Genomic DNA, 20,658 nt, shown 5'->3' with positions numbered 1-20,658 from the left:
CTTTTGAAAGGAAAATTATCACCAGTGATATATTAATATCCCAAAATCATGTGGGTTTTCCAAGAGTTCATAGTGTTACAGGTATGTCAAAAACTTGCAATTTTCTATAACTCATTAGTTCTATATATATATCCGTATTTTGAAAGATGGCAATCAAATATATGGATAATTTGCCGAGCTCCTAAATCTTCTTCCATCTGCCATAGGCAAAATGAAAGTGTTCCACTGACCCAGGAGTCAGCCTGGTGACTTGCCTGCCCTTGGCATCCATGGCTACTCTGAGGCCCTCTGCTCTTCTTGCCTGTTCTGCTCTTCCCTGCGCGTGCACAGAAGCACCCAGGGACCATGAATGGAACGCCTGTGTTCACCGCTGTGTCTCCGGGTCTGGCACTCGGGACACACCCTCACTACTGAATGGGTATTTGTATCTCTGGGAAAAGCCCTCCTGCCGCATTGTTTGCGGGAGAAAGCTGCTTCATGGCTGGCCTGTGTGAATTGTTGTTGATGTAAGAATGTGAACCGTGGTGGCAGAGACTTTGACCAGCTTGTTCAATGCTATTCCCAGGATTCTGTGCAATACCTGGCACAAAATAATCTTTGATAGAATCTTGAAAGAGTCAATAAATGTACCCCACGCAAGTGTCAACACCAGCTCCAAGCTTGACCCACATCCAGTGGGTCAGTATGGTAGTTCTTATAAAAATGAACAAATTGTTTTTGGTATTTTTTTGGTGCTATTTATATCTCTTTGGTCATCATAAATGTTTTCTCATTTACTGAGCTAGAAAAGCTTCAAGGACACAGCTGTGTTTGTACCTTTCAGGTCATTCCTTTCTCTAGCTCCTGGGATGCTTGTGGCAGGGCCCAACAAAATGCACACATATGTGTATCCATTCACGTATGTCAGCATCATAAGTGCATGGCTAATTATTTCAGACATACAGAAATATACAAAGAATAGTATAACAAACGTCCTTGTAGCTGCCATCCAGCTTAAGATATAAAAAAGGAGCAAAACATTCAAGAATGACACACACCCCAATCGTGTATTCCTGCCTCATCTTACCACTATCCTTCTGCACCAGGAGTAACCCTGCCTCTCTTTTGGTGTTTATCATTCTCTTGCATGTTTTAACATTTTTACAACATACGAACATATATCGAAACAAAACTTGGTAATATTTTGCAAATTTAGAAGTACATGTCCTTATGAGGATTGCATGTCATAAGACAAAACCTCAGAGTTGTGAAAACCTTTAAAAAAGGAACAGAGAAAGGTACCATCAAGATCAGTTGTAGTTAATAAGCCAAGTTTGAGTTTTGACATTATCTGACTAAGTTTTATATTATAAATAAAACATTTAATGATAAACCAGTGGTTTACTGAAAATGAAATGAGTTTTCTAATCAAACTGGGTCATGAATTTATTTAGCTTTTTTCAGTTAAGTCGATGGTAAAGATATTATTTTTAATTCATTCTGAAAGGATATTAGTTAAGTATCAGAACTGATAGTTTTCTAATAATCAGAGCTGTTTAAGGGCTTATTAAGTAAAAGCTAAAAGACCTGACTTTTGTACCATGAAAACCAATACAACTAAAATACAACTAAAGGTTAGAAAACATCCTGGATAAATATTTGTGATAAGTGTGAGGGGCAAGGGGCAATATATATGGCGGATAATACAAGTAGCTAACAATAACTAAAGATGGTGGGTACATGAGTGAAGAAATTCCAGACACATCACATAAAGCAGCTGTGATGTGAGGTTTCCACAGCTCTGAGCCCCAGATGTCAGGAAATTATCTTCTTGAAGCCATAATTTGTAAAAATGCTTGAATTTGCTAGTATCTAAGTAAAAGCAAATTAAAATACCAACTGCTATTATTTTAATCCTGTTAAAACTAACAGACATTATTTTGAAAATGAAACTGAGTGCTAGAGAGGTTGCAAGGAAATACACATCCTGAAAAATTACTAATGGTATTGTAAATCAAATGAATACTTTTAAATAAAAACATGTGTGCCCTTTAGGCCAGGAATCTCACTACTGGAAGCTTATCAAACATAAGTAACTCAGAATTTTTTTTTTTTTTAAGCAGTACTGGTTCATAATCCCATATTTAAAACCCTGGGCTGGATATGTTTCAGAGTTCAGGATTAAAAAATAAAATGTTTTAAAGGAGATATGGTATGTCTACTCTACATCACATAACACCCCAAGGGACTGAGTCAGCACTTTGCAGTCAAACACGTCAAAACAGTACTTCTGTGGAATACATGAGTGTTCACCATAAACAAGATAATGACTCCCCAGTGAATTTTCAGTTCAAACTTAAGAAGAAAAATTAAATTTTCCTTCAAATTTATGAAAAAAAAATTAGTTCTCTGGGCTTTTTATAAATGTGTATTAGTTCTCTGGGCTTTTTATAAATGTGTATAGGCCACTTATCTCAAAGAGATATTAATATCAGTATTATTTATATCACCAATAATACAAACTTCAAAACAATTTAGAATTAAACATGAAAGGTATAATACAAATAATGATGTGTCAATTCAGTGAAATACTACCAAGACTAAAATTAAAATAAGGAAATTATGCACACATATACAAAAATGTGTAAACTGGCACAGTCTTTACTATGTGTTCTTATTTATTATAGAGTTGAAAATGCAAGTTTTTATGCCTTATCTGTTTTATGCTGTTGGCTCCATAAAAAGTAGACAAATTTAGAATTTCTTTTTTCTGTAGACAATTGTCCTTATAAAAATGAATAAATTGTTTCAGAAATATGTAATTAATCTAGCATCTTAAGTTATTTCTGCCATTTTCGCAGAAAAATTTTTAAATGGTTGTAAAAAATATTCCTTTTAAATAGATGACCTGTAACTCCCAATTTTACAAAGGAGGCATTAGGGGGAAGTGATCAATCATTCTCCGAAGTCACAGTCACTCTCCGCTTAAGTACCTACCCCTCACACATCCGCTGGCCTGTGTGCGGATAAACACAGGCAGTCTAGCTTGTTCCATCTGTCCGTGTCCTACATGGAATATTCATTTAAGTAAAAATAAAGGTGGTGTGATCACATGGAGTCTCTGTCTTTTAATCTACAAAACGAAGATAGTACCACTTACTAACATTCTCATTGTAGAATAGACAGGGAGTCGGAACATGTCGCTTTGACTCCTGTCTTCACTTCATTAGCTTTGTGGTTGCTGCTAATGCAGTACATGAATCTATGTCAGGATGTGAATCACTCACTGTGTTATCTGTCAGAGGAAGAGGGGGAAACTGATAGACAATCTAGGGTCTGCTGTGTGTATGTCTTTGTGCTACATATATAACTATGTTGATCCATTTTATGGATTGAGAAACTGAGGCCCAAACACCAAGTAAGATGATGACTCAGATTTCTTCTAAGTGCTATCATTCAGTGATTCTACAGACGGAGATGCAAATGAAGGCAGCCTTTGTGTGATGAAGGCATGCCTGAGAACTGCTTTCAACAAAGTTTTTCGACATTAAAAAACAGTGACGTCCAAATAAAGACTAGTTCAGTTATTAGTACTGTGCAAATGTTAATTTCTGAATTATGATAAATGTACCATGGTTACGTAAGATGTTAACAGTGGAGGAAAGAAGGTGATGGGCATATGGGAACACTAAGCATGACTCTTCTGTACATCTAAAATTTTTCCCAAATAGAAAGGTTTTAAAAAGTGGCATATCTGGGAACATTTATGTAATAATTCCACTGGAATACGAGGGACTTCCTCCCTAAGGCCTAGGATAGTAATTAGCACGTAGTAGGTACATGATCAATACTTATGAAATGAATGAGTGATTCCACTAGCGACGAATGCCAGCTAAGACACAGGGCAGGGTAGGGGTGCTACAGGCCACTCTTGCCTGGGAAGAGCCAGCCACCAGGCTCTGAGACAATCTGCAGGCGCCAGTGCTTTTTCTTTTTCCTATGAAAAGACCAGGCTCATCAGGAGGAGCATCAGTTGAGCAAGTGCTGCAAGTGCTGGGTGCTCAGAACAAATCACTTAATTCACCCATGGACAACGCAAGCGGGCAGTGTTGCGTGCAGTCTCTGTTTTCTGTGTGGATCTGGGAAAATGAACCCCTCCCTCAGCAGTGGGACGTAGGGGGTGGAAGAGCACAGCTGAGAGGCTCAGGCAGTGATGGATGGATGGATGCAGGGTAGCTGGGACCACTTATCTACAGGACAGGACCTTCCCTGAGAACTGTCGTGCTCACCTGATTGCAAGCCAGTGACCAGAGATTTAAGTCGCATCTGCTGAAGTCATCCTCATTAGATACACTCGATTCCATTTCTCATGAGGTTGTTTAAAAATATAGTCAGTGACCCGAGCCCACCTGCCATGCTGCTGTCTCTGTGTGAGGTCTCTTCTTGATAAGTTAGAGCCTTCAATAATGGGGCAGTGGGGGTTTGGCATCAGATGTCCTGGGTGGGACTCGGGATGACTCCTCCACTCATGGATACTTTGCTCAGCTTTGTGCTTCATTCTTCAGTCATGAAATGGGGTACATAGCAGTGCCCCATTTGTATGATTGCCTATGTAATGATTAAGAAACATGACATATGCAAAGGACGGGAAACAGCGAGAGCACTTGATAGATGTTAACTATTGCGTTAGGGCTGCAAGGGGGCCGATTTCAATTCTGACTTAGGAGGAGGCACAGTGGCACTCAGAAGTCAGCACAGATTTTGAAGGCGCACAGACTAGTTTAATTTAGGCTTTGTCACATAATTCTCTGAGCCTCAGTCTTACCTTCCCTAAAACTGAAATAAATGACACCCGTAAGGTAGGTGTGATAATTAAATGAGATGATGCATATAGAGTACTTACGCATTTGATAAACAGCAGTGACTGTGATGATTGTCATGACCTGTACCAAAACACATGTGGCTTAATTTAAATCCTGCTGTTCTTTCACACCTAGCTGCCAACATCTAATTGCATTATGCATTTTACTGTCTCAATATGTCATCTTTGCAAATGAGATTTCAGAAAAATTGAAATACAATTTTTAGGGAAAATTCCTTTGCCTATTGTTTGTGATCTTGTAAATTTAGGTCATGCTTTGCAGATTTTTTTCATAAAGTAAATCATTAAAGACATGGATAAACCTTGCTATTTGCCCACAATCAATCTCATTTCTTTCTCTCCCTCTCAATAAGAGCCACTAGTCTGAATTTAGTAGTTTTCATTGGCATGCATATTTTAAAATTTACTATATATGTATATATCCCTGTATAATATATAGTATGCTGTGCATATTTTTAAATGCTGTAAAATGACATGCTTTTTAAAAAACATCATTCATGGAGTAGAACGTTGGACAGACGGGTATGCTCATATTCAACTTTACTACTAATAGTCAAATCACTCTTGAGATTAATTGTATAATTTAAACTTCTGCCAACAGTTTTGGATGATCCAGATCTTTGTCAACATTTGACTTGTCGGACTTTAAAATTTTGATCCATCTAATAAATATGGAATGCTACCATATTTTTATTTTAACCAAGGAAACATAATTGTAATAATAATAAGACCAATAAAAGTGGATTAATAAATTTTTTTCAGGCAATAATTTTTCAAACGTACATATATCCAGTTTCTTTATTTTCTGTCAATTATGAGGCATAATTAATAAAGTTTGTATATATTTAAGATGTACAAAATAATGTTTTGGTATACGTACATACTGTGAAATTATTACCGCAGTCAAGCTTATTAACAAACATATCCAGTACCTCATATAGTTACCTTTTTGTAGGTATGTGGTGAGAACATTTAAGATCTACTTAATCTCTTAGCAAATTTCAAGTATACAAGACAGTATTATTAACTATAGTCACCACACTGTACATTAGATCTCCAGAAATTTCCATTAATAGTAATACCAATAATTATTAGTATTATTGATATAATTATTGTAATTATTACTACAATTATTGTTGGTTAGTTAAAACAAAAATTCAGCCAACATGACTGAAACTTTGTGTGCTTTGACCAACATCTCCCCATCTTCTTTTCCTCCAGCCCCTAGCAATCCCCATTCTACTCTCTACTTCCATGAGACTGACTTTTTAAGATTCTACAATCTCTGCTTCTATGAGATTGACTTTTTAAGATTCTACGTGTAAGTGAGGTCATGCAGTATTTGTCCTTTGATGCCCAGCTTATTTCATGTTCATAATATCCTCCAGGTTCACCAAGTTGTCACAAATGACAGGATTTCCTTCTTTTTTAAGGCTGAGTAATATTCCATCACACAGGCCAGGAGTGGTGGCTCACACTTGTAATCCCAGCACTTTGGGAGGGTGAGGCAGGTGGATCACGAGGTCAGGAGATGGAGATTATCCTCGCTAACACAGTGAAAACCCGTCTGTACTAAAAATACAAAAAAATTAGCCGAGCACGTGGTGGCACATACCTGTAGTCCCAGCTACTCAGGAGGCTGAGGCAGGAGAATTGCTTGAACCTGGGGGACGGAGGTTGCAGTGAGCTGAGATCACACCACTGCACTCCAGCCTGGGTGACAGAGTGAAACTCCATCTCTCCTCTCTCTCTCTCTCTCTCTCTCTCTCTCTTTCTCTCCATATATATATATGTATTCCATTGTATATGTGTATGTACATACATATATGTGAATATATGTCACATTTTCTTTACCCATTCATCTGTCTGTTGACACTTAGGTTCATTTCATATGACAGCTACTGTGACTCCTTCTACAGTGGGCAATAGGAGTGCAGATATCTCTTCAAGGTGCTGATTTTATGTCCTTCGGATTTGTATACCCAACAGTAGAATTGCCAGGTCATATGGTAATTCCATTTTTAGTCCTTTGAGTAACTTCCATATTGTTTTTCACAATGGCTGTACCAATATACATTCCCACCAGTAGCAGATAGGGGTTCCCTTTTCCCACATCCTTGCCAATACTTGCTAATTTTTGTCTTTTATAAATAACTATTAATGGGTGGGATGATACCTCATTGTGGTTTAGCTTTGCATTTCCCTGATGATTAGAGACGTTGAGCATTATTTCATACACTGCTGGCCACTGTATGTCTTCTGAGAAATGTCTATTCAGATTCTTTGCCTATTTTTAAGCAGGTTATGTGTTTTCTTGCCATTTAGCTGAGTTCCTTACCTATTTTGGATATTAACCCCTTATAGGATGTATGGTTTGCAATTATTTTCACCCATTCCATAGGTTGCTTCCTTTGCTACACAGAGGCTTTTTTGTTTGATGTAATCCCATTTGTTTACTTTTTTTTGTTTTGTTGCCTGTGATTTTGGGGTCATATGAAAAAAAAAATCATAGCCCAGACCAATTTCAAAAGCTTTTTCTCTGTTTTCTTCTAGCATTTTCACAGCTTCAGATCTTACATTTAAGTCTTTCCTCTAGCTTGAGTTGATTTTTGTATATGGTGTGAGGCAATGGTCCAATTTCATTCTTTTGGCTGTGAATATCCAGCTTTCCTGACACCATTTATTGAAGACACTGTCCGTTCTCCCATTGTATGTTCTTGGCACCTTTGTGGAAGACCAACTAATTTTAAAAGGTTGGATTTATTTCTGGGCTCTCTACTCTGTTCCATTGGTTTATATGCCTGTTTTTATGCCAGTACCATACTTTTGTTGATTACTATAGTTTTGTAGAATACTTTGAAATTAGGTAGCATGGTGCCTCCAGCTTTGTTCTTCTTGATCAAGGTTGCTTTGACTATCCAGGGTCCTGTGATTCCATATGAATTTTAGGATTTTTTGTTCTATTTCTGTGGAAAATGCCATTGGAATTTTCATAAGATTTCATTGAATCTGTAGATAGCTTTGAGTAATATGGATATTTTAACATTAATTCTTCCAGTCTATGAAGACAGGATATCTTTCCATTTATTTGTATCCTCTCCCATTTCTTTTATCAATGTTCTGTAGTTTTCACTGCACAGATTTTTCACCTCCGTGGTTAAATATATTTCTGAATATTTTTATGCAATTGTAAATGAAATTGTTTTTTAAATTTCTCTTTTGGTGGTTTGTTGTTAGTGTGTAGTGGGCGAAGGACATGAACAGACACTTCTCAAAAGAAGACATTTACGCAGCCAAAAAACACATGAAAAAATGCTCACCATCACCAGCCATCAGAGAAATGCAAATCAAAACCACAATGAGATATCATCTCACACCAGTTAGAATGGCAATCATTAAAAAGTCAGGAAACAACAGGTGCTGGACAGGATGTGGAGAAATAGGAACACTTTTACACTGTTAGTGGGACTGTAAACTAGTTCAACCATTGTGGAAGTCAGTGTGGCGATTCCTCAGGGATCTAGAACTAGAAATACCATTTGATCCAGCCATCCCATTACTGGGTATATACCCAAAGGACTATAAATCATGCTGCTATAAAGACACATGCACACGTATGTTTACTGCGGCATTATTCACAATAGCAAAGACTTGGAACCAACCCAAATGTCCAACAATGATAGACTGGATTAAGAAAATGTGGCACATATACACCATGGAATACTATGCAGCCATAAAAAATGATGAGTTCATGTCCTTTGTAGGGACGTGGATGAAATTGGAAATCATCATTCTCAGTAAACTATTGCAAGAACAAAAAACCAAACACCGCATATTCTCACTCATAGGTGGGAATTGAACAATGAGATCACATGGACACAGGAAGGGGAACATCACACTCTGGGGACTGTTGTGGGGTGGGGGGAGGGGGGAGGGATAGCACTGGGAGATATACCTATTGCTAGATGACGAGTTAGTGGGTGCAGCACACCAGCATGGCACATGTATACGTATGTAACTAACCTGCACAATGTGCACATGTACCCTAAAACTTGAAGTATAATAATAAAAAAATAAAATAAAATAAAAAAAAGAAGTGGGACTGACTTTTTTAGGTGATTTTGTATCTGCTACTTTACTGAAGCTGTTTATTAGCTCTAAATGTCTTATTTGTATAGTCTTTAGGGTTTTCTTTATAAAAAATCAAGTCATCTGTAGAAAGAGACAATTTTACTTCTTCCTGTTCAATTTGCATGCCTTGTATTCCTTTTTCTTGCCTAATTGCTCTGGCTAGGACTTCTAGTACTGTATTGAATAGAAGTGGCAAGAGTGGGCATCCTTGTCTTGTTCGTGATCTTAGAGGAAAATCTTTCTGCTTTTCACCACTAAGTGTGATGTTAGCTGTGGGTTTATTTTGTTGAGGTACATTTCTTCTATACCACCTTGTTGAGAGCTTTTATCATGAAGATTGTTTTCATGTTGAATTTGCTGATGTTGGATTTTGTCAAATGCTTTTTTGCATCTACTGAGATGACCATATATTTTTTTCTTTCATTCTGTTAATGTAGTATATCACCTTTATGGATTTGCACATGTTGAATTCCTTGGAAATTCATTGCATTCCTGGAGTGAATCCCACTTGATCATGGTGAATAATCCTCTTAATGTGCTACTAATTTTGGTTTCCTAGTATCTTGTCAAGGATTTTTGCACATATGTTCATCGGGGATATTGGCCTGAAATTTTCTTTTCTTGTAGTATCCTTGTCTGACTTTGGTATTAAAGTAATGTTGGCTTCATAAAATGAGTTTGGAAGTGTTCCTTCATCTTTGCTTCTTCAGAAAAGTTTGAGAAGGCTTGGCATTAATTCTTTAAATGTTTGATAGAACTCTACCATGAAGCCATGAGCTCCTGGGCTTTTCTTGGTTGGGAGACTTTTGATTACTGATTGTATCTCCTTACTCACTGATCTTTTCAGATTTTCTATTTCTTCATGATTCAGCCTTGACAAGTGGTATGTTTCTAGAAACTTATCTATTGTTTCAGGTTATGCCATTTATTGACATATAATTTTAATAGTAGTTTTTACGATCCTTTGTAGTTCTGTAGTATCGGATGTAGTGTCTCCTCTTTCATTTATGATTTTGCTTATTTGAGTGTGCTCTTTTTTGTTAGTCAACTAAACGTTTGTCAATTTTGCTTAACTTTTCAAAAGCTAACTCTTAGATCCATTGATCTTTTCTATTGTTTTTCTAGTCTCAGTGTCATTTATTTCTGCTCTGATCTTTATTATTTCCTTCCATCTGCTAACTTTGGGCTTAGTTTGTTCTTTTTTAGTTCCTTGAAGTGTGAAGTGAGGTTGAGGTTATTTATCTGAAGTATTTCTTTTTCCTTAACATAGACATTTATCATGGTAACTTCCCTCTTAGGAATGCTCTTGCTGAGTCCCATAAATTAGGTATGTTGTGTTGCCATTTCTGTCTTAAGATTTTTAAAATTTTCCTTTTGATTTCTTCTTTGATCCATTGGTCAAAGAGCCTGGGGCTGGAGCTTGGGAGGCCAGCCTTGCACGAGGGTTCAGTGGCATGAGCCTGGCGCTGGGGTCCACAGTGAAGTTGGTGCTCACTTCACTCTCCTTCCCCCAGGAGGAGTATCTTTCTTGACACTGAGCTTGGGAGACATCATGTGAAACTGTCCTTCCTACCCTCTTTAATGCATCTCTACTTCTGTGCTCTACAGAAGCACATATTTCTCACCTGGATTCCTTAGCAATTATGAAGCCATTTTTGCATGTGGATGGTTGTTCAAATGGATGTATCTATGAGGGGACTAGAGACTCCTATTCTGCCATCATACTGATGTCATAATGTTCCCTTTTTACAGTTTCTTTAGATTTACTCATATGTTTGCAGCCGTTACTTTTGCCACCTACTTCTTTCTGAGAGTGCCTTCTATGTAACTAAAGAACATCCTGCAACTATGATTTAGGAACTGTAAACTCTCTTAGCCCTTGTCCTTACTGTAATACTCATTATTTTGCCATTACTCCTGAATAATAGCGTAAAAAAGTCTATGTTAATGCTTATTTTTCCTCACAACTTTGAAGATATTATTCTGATTGGTGAAGACTCTCTGTAGGCCCAGATTCAAATAATCTTTCTTCTCTGGTGATTTTTAAATTTTCTCTTTGTCTTTGATGATTCATAATTTCACAAATAAGGAATCTGTGACAGTTAATTTTATGTGTCAAATTGACTGGGCCAGGGCAGATGCCCAGATATTTGGTTCCACATAAGTCTGCATGTTTCTGTGAGGGTGATTTTGGAAGATATTTAAACAGAATGAGTACGGCAGATTGCCCTCCATGTGCGTGGGCCTCATCCAATCAGATGAAGGCCTGAACAGAACAAAAAACTGACCATCCCCCAGGTGAGAGAGAGTTCCCCCACCTGATGGCCTTTGAACTTGGACATTGGCTTTTCCTGGTTCTACAGCAGCTCCCAGCCCTCAGACTCAAACAGGGACATCATTTCTATAGATCTTGAACTTGCCACCCTCCATAATCAGATGAGCCAATTCCTCATAATAAATACCTTCATCTACCTATCTTCCTACTTACCTACCCACCTACCTATCTACCTACCTATATATCTACCAACCTACCTACCTATCTACCTATGTACCTACCAACTGACCTATCTTCCTACCTACCTACCTACCCACCCACCTATCTACCTACCCATCTATCTACTAACCTACCTACCTACCAACCTACCTATCTATCTACCAACCTACCTACTTACCTACCAACTGACCTACTATCTACCTATCTTCCTACCTACCTACCCACCCACCTGTCTATCTACTCATCTACCAACCTAACTACCTGTCTACCTACCTAGCAACTGATCTATCATCTCCCTATTGATCCACCTACCTACCTACCTATTTATCTACCAACCTACCTACCTACCTACCAACCTGCCTACCTATCTACCTACCTACAAACCTACCTACCTACCTACCTATCTGTCTACCTCCCTATTATCTATCTACCTACCTAACTACCTACCTATCTACCTACCTACCTACCTACTATCTATCTATCTATCTATCTATCTATCTATCTATCTATCTACTTTCTTATTGGTTCTGTTTCTGTGGATAATCCTAATACAGAATCCGAATGAACACATTAATACTGTTTACACCTTTTATGTTTTACCAATTTAAGCGTTCTTATCTTTCAACAATATTTAAAATTATCTGTTACTGGCTCTGTGAAAACATCATCTCTGTCATTCTCCTTATTTTCTCCTTCTGGTATTCCCATTAAGAATATGATGGAAGTTCTCCTTCTGTACCCATGTCTCTTAACTTTGGTATTTTCTAGCTCCTTACCCTAAGGCCACACTCTGGGGACGCCTCAGTCCCACCTTCCCATTCACTAACTCTCTCTCATTAATTTTATCCAATATGTTGTTTATTTCATTCTTCATTTTTAGTAACTGTATTTTTATTTCTAGAAACTGTTATTTGGTTCTTTTTCACATCTGCCTGTTCTTTTCTTCAAAAGTTTTTTTAAATTATGGTTTTGGATCCTTTTCTAAGAATTTCAAAAATACCTATAGATGTTTTGCTTGTTCTAGCTTCTGAAATTCTGGGAGTGCTAACCTTCATTTTGTTGTAGGTTCTCTCCTGTGTATCTTCCCCTTCTGGCTCATCATTTTTACTCTGACGTCTTTTTCTGTGAGAAGCATGTGTGTGGCTCGGGTGGTGGCAATGTTCTTCTCTGTTCCTGGAGGTGGCCCAGGCGTGTCACCTCCCCGAAGCCCACCCAGTGTGGGTTCTCACACTATGAAGATACTGTATGAGTTTGGGATTCAGATCCATGTTAGGTGTGAGGATTGTGTTTTTATCAACACTTTTTCTTTAACCAAGACACCAGGAGGAGAGATGGTCCTTTGCAGTCTCTCTCTTCCAGCAGATGGGTCCTTCTACGTTCATTTTTCCTGGGGAATGGAGCCCTTCTGGAGTCCTGGTTCCAGGCAGCTGCTCAGCTCCCTGTCCCCATCGTGCACACACATGAAGCAAATGCCATTTCTATAAGCAAAAATTTTAAATTGTCTGAGTGTAGGGATGTCACATTTTGGATCCTAGGTGTAACCATAACTAGAGGTGCTGATATTGACCAAAAGGCCCAGTTTTTTTTTTTCTTCCTAGACCAGATTGTCACTTTACAGTGTCCCTATACAATAACTTTATAGATAGAGCTTTCCTGACTTCAGTGGAAGCTTGGTGCAGGAAGAAGAGATTGTGGGGTGCATTAAGTAATGAGAAAGTGGCATTATGTCTTTGAGACAAGAGAACAGTTTAATTTTCTCCTGTCAAACAACTGGGTGTTTTAATAATCCCAGCCTTTTAAAGTCTCAGACTTTTAAGTTCCCTTACATCTTTGACATGATTTATCTTTGCAATTCCACCCACCCTTTATGAGAATAATAACGTGCTAATGCTCTATTCTTCTACTGTGCTTTTTATTCAGAGAACTCCAAGCACTTTATAGACATTGCCATTTATCCTTACAACACCTTTGCATACTGTGGTAGCTACTTTGTTAGTAGAAAAGTCTGTTTCATGGAAAATGAAGACCGGGCAGCTCAAGCGTGGCAGCACTGAAAACAGTATCGGATCACACCACAAATTACTGGTTTACACAAGGGCAGCAGGAAATAGGAAGGGGCTTCCCCCTTGCCCCAGCACAAGTAGGCTGTTTCTAATCTAAAATGATATATAAGAAAAGTAAATCCTGCTGCAGATATTCTTCAGGGAATACCTTTAATACAATAGGTCCATGTTGGATTATTTGTTGTATCTCAGGTCTGGGTGGAACATGGCTAGGGAGGTTCTCCACAGGCTGAGGACAGGGTTACTAGGATCACTGAGCCAGAAAGCTGTTGGGATTCACAGTGCCGACTGGAAATGCATTGGGTATGTAAACACACGCCGTTTCTGGAAGAATGCAGGCTCCGCTGGCAATGAGAACCTTTGGAATTCGGGGCAGGTGGTAGTTATTCATCCAGACAGGCAACTGGCATCCCAGAGAACTGTCACTAGGAACCAGGGACCTGAGAGCCAGGCCACAGTCCAGGTGCTGGGAAAGAAACCAGCACGCGAAGGAGAGCCCTGGCTCTGCGGAGGCCAGCTGTGCTTGGTGGCCAGCGGACAGATGCCACTCACCAGGATGGGGCTGAGAAGCCCTGGGGAGATCCTAACGGGGAAGAGCTGGAGTCAGAACTGGGACAGCGCTCATATGCCAGGTGGAGACTCCAGAGCTACTGTTGGGAGATTTTGGATGTGACGCTGGGACCAGATAGGGAATAACATTTTCTGCTTTCCCAGTTCCATCCAAGTTGCCTCATCTGGAAATTTGCAAAGTGTGAGGAGTGTAACTTCAGCAATGAGCCCACTCATGTTAATGACATGGTTAGAGATGGACTGGCCTGCTCACTCAATAGGGTGGATGTGATGAGCTGGATTTTGTGTGGTGACTGGTAAAGCTCCAGTCTAGCCTGTGTCTCTCCAGTGGAGTCGCCCACCTGCGACTGTGTGCCGCCACAACTCTTGGACGGCTTGGGTGAAGGAAAAGATCTGTGACCACGCGGTGCTCACTGATGATTCTAGAAGTCAGCACATCTGTGTGGCTCGGCCACCTGCCCCCAGGGTCTGCCCCACCTCTAGGGCAGGTCAGCTTCCAGCCCTGACTTCTCCCTACACCATCAGAATCCCGAAAGAGAGGTGGTAAAATAGGTGAAAGACGGCCAGGTTATCATTTTGAGTTACCTTAAATCATAAAAATCCTGTGTGGAAAAGCATTGAAACAAAGCATGAAACAATAAAAGGGAGAGGCAGGTAGTTCTCGTAAGAAAGCCAGCTTTAAATGCATTCACTTCAGCTGAGCAAAGGATTCTCTCTTCAGCTTCCTGATGGTCATGGCAAAAGAGAAAACAGTACACGTTAATTCATTCTGAGTGAAGGGGCGCTTATCCAGTGGTGCATCCAGTGACAGGGCTGGGTACACTCGTAATTTTCTTATAAAAGAACGCTAATATTCTCTGCCAAAAGTAAATTTAGAAAAGTTAATTTTGTGAGTTTCACAAAAAGGGAACTGAACAACATGGGCATATCCTTATTAGCAGTTTTACCAAAAATGTAGAGGCCATTTTATTGCCTGCTTCTTACCTGGATTCTTGTTGGCAATTGAAAATGTAATATAAAATCTTGAAATTTCTGCTGACCTAACTTAATATGAGGACAGTCACTAACTCTTCTGGAGCACTCACTAAGTCCTAGGCATCAGTCCAAGTGTTTTAATACCTCAACTCATAGGCCTCATGGCAACCCTATGGAATGTCTCCCTCCTGCAAATAAGAACCCAGAAGTACAGAAAGTGTCAACAATCTAGCCCGTGGCCACTCAGAAGTTGAATGTGTAACGGCTCCGCAGTATTTTCTGGATCAATCAAGCTTGGAAAGCTGCCCCTTCCTCACTCTTCTCTTTCTATTCTGCTCCAGCCGCAGATGCACCTCTCGTTCCTCCAACGTGCCGGCAGCTCGGGCCTTTCTCCTGGGCTCTTCTGCCTGGAACTCTCTCTGCAGACTTTCACAGGACCTCCTCCTCGTTTCCTTCAGGTTCAGTTGTCGTCTTCTCCACCCAGGCCGCCCAGAACCTGCCCCTGGAGCTCCGACTTCCCTCCCCTACACGCATTTTTCCATAGCACTTTCCCCATACAGGGCACTTTTCCCCCCGTACAGGGCTCAGTGTGTTTTGACTCATGAGTTTCCTGATTCCTTGTCTCTCATTTTTGCCCATCATGTTCTCTATCGAGTCTCCAGGAGCCACAAGACGGTGCTTCCCTCCGGGGGCCACGAGGCCGCAGGGACAGGGAGCTCCGGCAGTTCTGGGATGCGGCAGGGTTCCGCGGCGCGGCATGGGGCGTGGGTTCTGTACAATTGACATTTTTTTAATTGTTGCTTTTTGTTTTTGAGACGGAGTCTCACTGTCGCCCAGGCTGGAGTGCAGTGGCACAATCTCAGCTCACTGCAACCTCCGCCTCCCTGGTTCAAGCGATTCTCCTGCCTCAGCCTCCGGAGTAGCTGGGATTACAGGGGCCCGCCACCACGCCAGGCTAATTTTTTTGTATTTTTAGTCGAGATGGGGTTTCACTATGTTGGCCAGGCTGGTCTTCAACTCCTGACCTTGTGATCCACCCACCTCGGCCTCCCAAAGTGCTGGGATTACAGGCGTGAGCCACCGGGCCCGGATTTTTTTTTTTTTTGGTGGAATCTCACTCTGTCGCCCAGGCTGGATTGTAGTGGCATGATCTCGGCTCACTGGAATCTCCACCTCCCAGGTTCAAGCGATTCCCCTGCCTCAGCCTTCTGAGTAGCTGGGATTAGAGGCATGCGCTACCATGCCCAGTTAATTTTTTATATTTTTAGTGGAGACCGGGTTTCACCATGTTGGCCAGGCTGGTCTCGAACCCCTGACCTCAAGTGATCCACCCACCTCCAGCTCCCAAAGTGCTGGGATTACAGGTGTGAATCACCTCTCCCGGCCTTGTCATCTTTTAAAATTGGACATATGCTTGCATTTGTGTATGCATGCTATGATTCAGGATAATAGAGAAAATGCTCTGGGATGGGGGACGTGATTTATTTGACACGGGAACCGAGGATAAGGAATGATTTCAGAGAACACATGGCTTTTACATTCAGCCTGGTAGAATAAGTTGAACTCTCAGTAGAAACGACAGAGGAAATACTGTGAAGGAAATATTTTCACTTAGCTCTGTCGTCACTTAGTCTCAGAACTCCCTACCATGTTTCTATACCCAGTCCTCTGTTTTCAGTGGCTTTTTTTTTTTGAAGGGGGATCATCTTTTCATATATTCATATACATATATATCTCCAAGAAATATGTCACTTGTATATCTTTTTCAAGATAGATATACAAGATAGATACACATATGTATTCATATACGTATATATCTCCAAGATATCTCTTGTATATCTTTTTCAAGATTGATATACAGGTGACGTATTTCTTGGTGATATATATGTATATAAATATATGGAAGTCTTTCCGTTGCAGTCAAAAGATAGCTTGGCTGGCTGCATAGATAATTTTTCAATCAAAAACAACAGAAATTGCTCCATTCTCTTCCAGCTTGCAATGTTATCTGAAAGTCTGAAGCTAGTCTGGTTCTTCCCTTTAAAATAATCTGGGTTGGATTTTTTTTTCTGCCTAGTAATCCACAGCCACTGTAGGAAATATTTGATAGCAAATAGATACAAGGACTTTCAAAGCTTGCTCTTTTGTAATTGTTTAAAAGGCTGACCTGCAAATTAATTAGTATTGTGGGCCTCCCCAAGCATATGGCTTTATAATATCTATAAAGAAGATTTAGGAATACAATGTTTCCTATTAATGCAATAATCCACCAGAACTGTGGATCCCTGTGGTTGGGGCCCGGGGTCACCCATCCAAGTGCCCAAATTGGGTGAATTTTGGGTTGCTGCCCCCCTGTGGTAGGAGCAGGTAGTGCTTATTTATTATTTCACTGCTGTCCTTAGTATCTCCCAATATAATCCTTTTAAAAATAGATTTCCAACTCTCCATGTCTAAGAAGATTGCTTCAAGTAATTTATCCAAATATTTTTATTCAAAAAATGTTTAATCTGTTTATATATTTAAGTTAGAGGATAGAATTGGGCAGAAAAAATTAAATCTCTACCATATTTTGGGGATTTTTCCATTTGAAAAAGGTTGATATTCGGTTTCACTGAAAACAATCAAATTTTCCTGGAAATCTTTTTTTTTTTTTTGAGATGGAGTCTCCCTCTGTCACCCAGGCTGGAGTGCAGTAGCATGATCATGGCTCATTACAGCCTCAACATCCTGAGCTCAAGAGATCCTCCTGCCTCAGCCTCCCAAGTAGCTGGGACCACAGGAATATGTCACCACTCCACACTAATGTTTTTTGTTGCATTTTGTAGAGATAGGGTCTCACCATGTTGTCCAGGCTAGTCTTGAGCTCCTGGGCTCAAGCAATCCTCCCTCCATGGCCTCCTATTTCTTCTTAATTTCATTCTAAGTGACAACTTTTCCTCTTTTCAATTATGTGTATATATAACTCTTACATAATATAAATTAGGCAGTAAAGCAAAGTCTCAAAAACTGAGAAGTCAGAGGTCATCTCAAGCCCCAAAGACAAGTCTTGTTTTTGGCCCCAAAAGTGGTTTAAATTGTATTTGCAGGTGCCTGTGTCTTTGGGTATGGTCATAATCTCCCTGAAGCTGAGGCCACCTTTCCTGGTGTCTTATATCAGAATATTCTACACTTTTGTGTACCTTATCTACATTTTGAATGGCTTAAAAATGCATTTTTGCCTAAAACATGTCATTATTCTGACATCCTTCTTTTTCACTCTCCCAATTCTTCTGATGATTTTGCAGTCATTCTCATATTGCCATCTTGCGTGGTAGTTTTTTGCATGGTGATAATTGGGAAGTTGGAATTGCAAACAGATTCTTTTTCTTCAAACCATCACATTTTTCAAAATGTGTATTATTTCTGGCAAGCTCCAAATGGAAGCAGGAAAGCCAGTCTTTGAATTGGATCAGTGCCATGCACCAGCATGTCCCTACTGAAGGGAGAGGAGAATTGAGTGTTATGAATCCATTGAAATGTGTGCCCTCACTCCAGCATGATGATGATTTGCATGTTTCTGGTTTTGCATCAGAAGCTGCTCTGAAGGTGCACAGAAAAGCAGCTGTATGAGTTAGAGTCCCGATGTTTACCCAAGGGCAGCATGACTAGGGGCCCTACCTGCTCTGGCAGGGCTGTCAGAGACACATTTCACTTCTGGGAGGAGGACATCAGAAAATATTGTGCTCAGGTAGAATTCCTGCCTGCTGCCCAATGTCATCACTCTAACATTGTCTGAAAAGGGTGTGTATGTTGGGGGTGGGTGGCTATTGCTCGGACTGTTGGATTTTTTCCTAGTTTTCTACTAAAGACCAAGACCCACTTGTCTTTCTTAACACAAAAACAAACAAATAAAAAAACAAAACACAACACAACCAACTATTTAAACTCCTTTCTTTTTTTCCTTTCCTCCTGATGCTCACTTTTGCAAACTTACAAAGCAGCCTTAGATTTGTATCTATTTCAGCAGCATAAGATGAAAAGCAGCGAGACAAAGTAAAATGTCTTCATTGTTCTTTGGAAACATGATTATTTAAGTTATGTTTCTTTAAGTAAACAAATATACCAGGATTTTTTTCTTGCAATGAATCAAGTGATTGGACAAGAAAGCCAATGACTTATTCATTTTTAAATTACTTTTGATCTCCTGGCTGTCTTCCTCCTATCTACTCCCTGCAAATTTCCATAGGCATCTTGAATTCTGGAGAGCACTGGTGGCTTCAGCCTTAGGGAAGGAACTGGTGAGCTGGTGCACTCCCTGAGGCCTCTCCTGGGCTCTATGTCATTTGGGGGTAGATTTTCTTTTAGTGATTCCCTCCTGGCCTCAGAACACTGTTTGGAGAGAGGAAGGAGGAGGAACAGGCATCTAGCCTTGTCTTTTGAAAAGCCCCAGGCTCCTGGAAAGCCTCCTCTCTCTCCCTCAGCCAGCAGCTTCCACACCGTGCAGGGGATGGTGGCTGGATTTGTCTCACAAACTCTGCACACTGGACTCTCACATAAGCTTGTGAGCCAGAAGCGTGACCCTAAGCGAAGGGAAATCTGGCGCCCGTCTTTATACGCGTGATTCTAAGGAGGAAAACGGTGTGGCTTCTCAAGGAGTCGCCTCCGTCCTGAGTCACTAAGCACGTGTGGTCGCTGCTGCTGTCTGAAGCCAGCCCTCAGCGGGCCCATGGCAGGGTCTCCTGTGTGGTCATCACAGCTGAGTAAACGCACAGTGGGGAACCAGCCCACGCGCAGATTCTGGGCGGAGGAAGCAGCCTGGGTGCAGGGCAGGAGAATCCCCACGTGCTCGGTCCCAGGGGAACCCCCCACGCGAGGAGGGTGGACACGGGGGCGTTTCTGTGGTGGCCTGGCTCGGCCCATCCATCTTCCTTTATGCTGTTTTCTGTTTGCTGGTTTGGGACACATTTGAGCTTCTCTGTCATCTTTAGTTTGGTCACGAGTGAAGTGGAGACCTTTCCCAAAGGGAGATCTGTGCTTGTTTTCCTGTGGTCGGCAACTGGGCTGGTTAAGACGCTGAACTGCGGGTTCGATCCCGCGAGGGAGAACCGCAGAGGATGGCCTGTCTTCCCGGTGCCCGCAGATGGCCGGGGAGGGCCGGCTTGGCCCCAGGAAGCTGGTTCTCAGTGCTGGGTGGGGTCTAACCATGGGACACTCTCCCTGCTCAACAAAGGAACAGACAAGGATGCGGGCCCAGGCCCGTCGGAAGGCGGTGCCTGTCAGGAGGTGTGGACCACCGGGGGGAGCGGGCATCGTGGCTCTCCTCGGGCATCGTGGCTCTCCTCTCCCCCGGTGCTCGGCACCCGTGCTCTTCTCATTGGGTTTTGCTGACACAGCTTGAATTCTGTCATCCGGGCAGTCATTTATTTTGCTTGCTTGTAAAACCAGCTATGCTTATTAACGTAAAATTTTAAAGCTATTTATATAAATGTTGAGGATAATTCTTTTCCTCAGGAAAATATTTTTTAATGTTTCCTGGGTATATTTTTTCCCATCATTAATACTTCCCAATTTCTGTAAAATGTTTC

General features: G+C 40.8%; 1 protein-coding gene across 3 annotated transcripts in view, besides 1 other annotated feature; it reads left to right on the top strand.

Annotated features, from left to right (window-relative positions):
- Positions 1 to 20,658, top strand: part of PDE10A (phosphodiesterase 10A) — a 660,764-nt gene that overhangs the window by 241,103 nt on the left and 399,003 nt on the right. The gene's annotated exons all lie outside the window — the stretch shown is intronic.
- Positions 19,390 to 19,997: an enhancer, noted in NCBI's record as "H3K27ac-H3K4me1 hESC enhancer chr6:166140441-166141048 (GRCh37/hg19 assembly coordinates)". NCBI's record gives its function as "activates a minimal SCP1, AML or CMV promoter by ChIP-STARR-seq in naive H9 embryonic stem cells {active_cell/tissue: H9 hESC(naive)}" and the evidence as "EXISTENCE:reporter gene assay evidence [ECO:0000049][PMID:30033119]".

Source organism: Homo sapiens, chromosome 6 (genome assembly GCF_000001405.40).
Source record: "Homo sapiens chromosome 6, GRCh38.p14 Primary Assembly".
Lineage (NCBI taxonomy): Eukaryota > Metazoa > Chordata > Mammalia > Primates > Hominidae > Homo > Homo sapiens.
Note: the sequence above shows the minus strand (reverse complement) of the source record. Positions and strands in the feature narration are given on the sequence as shown.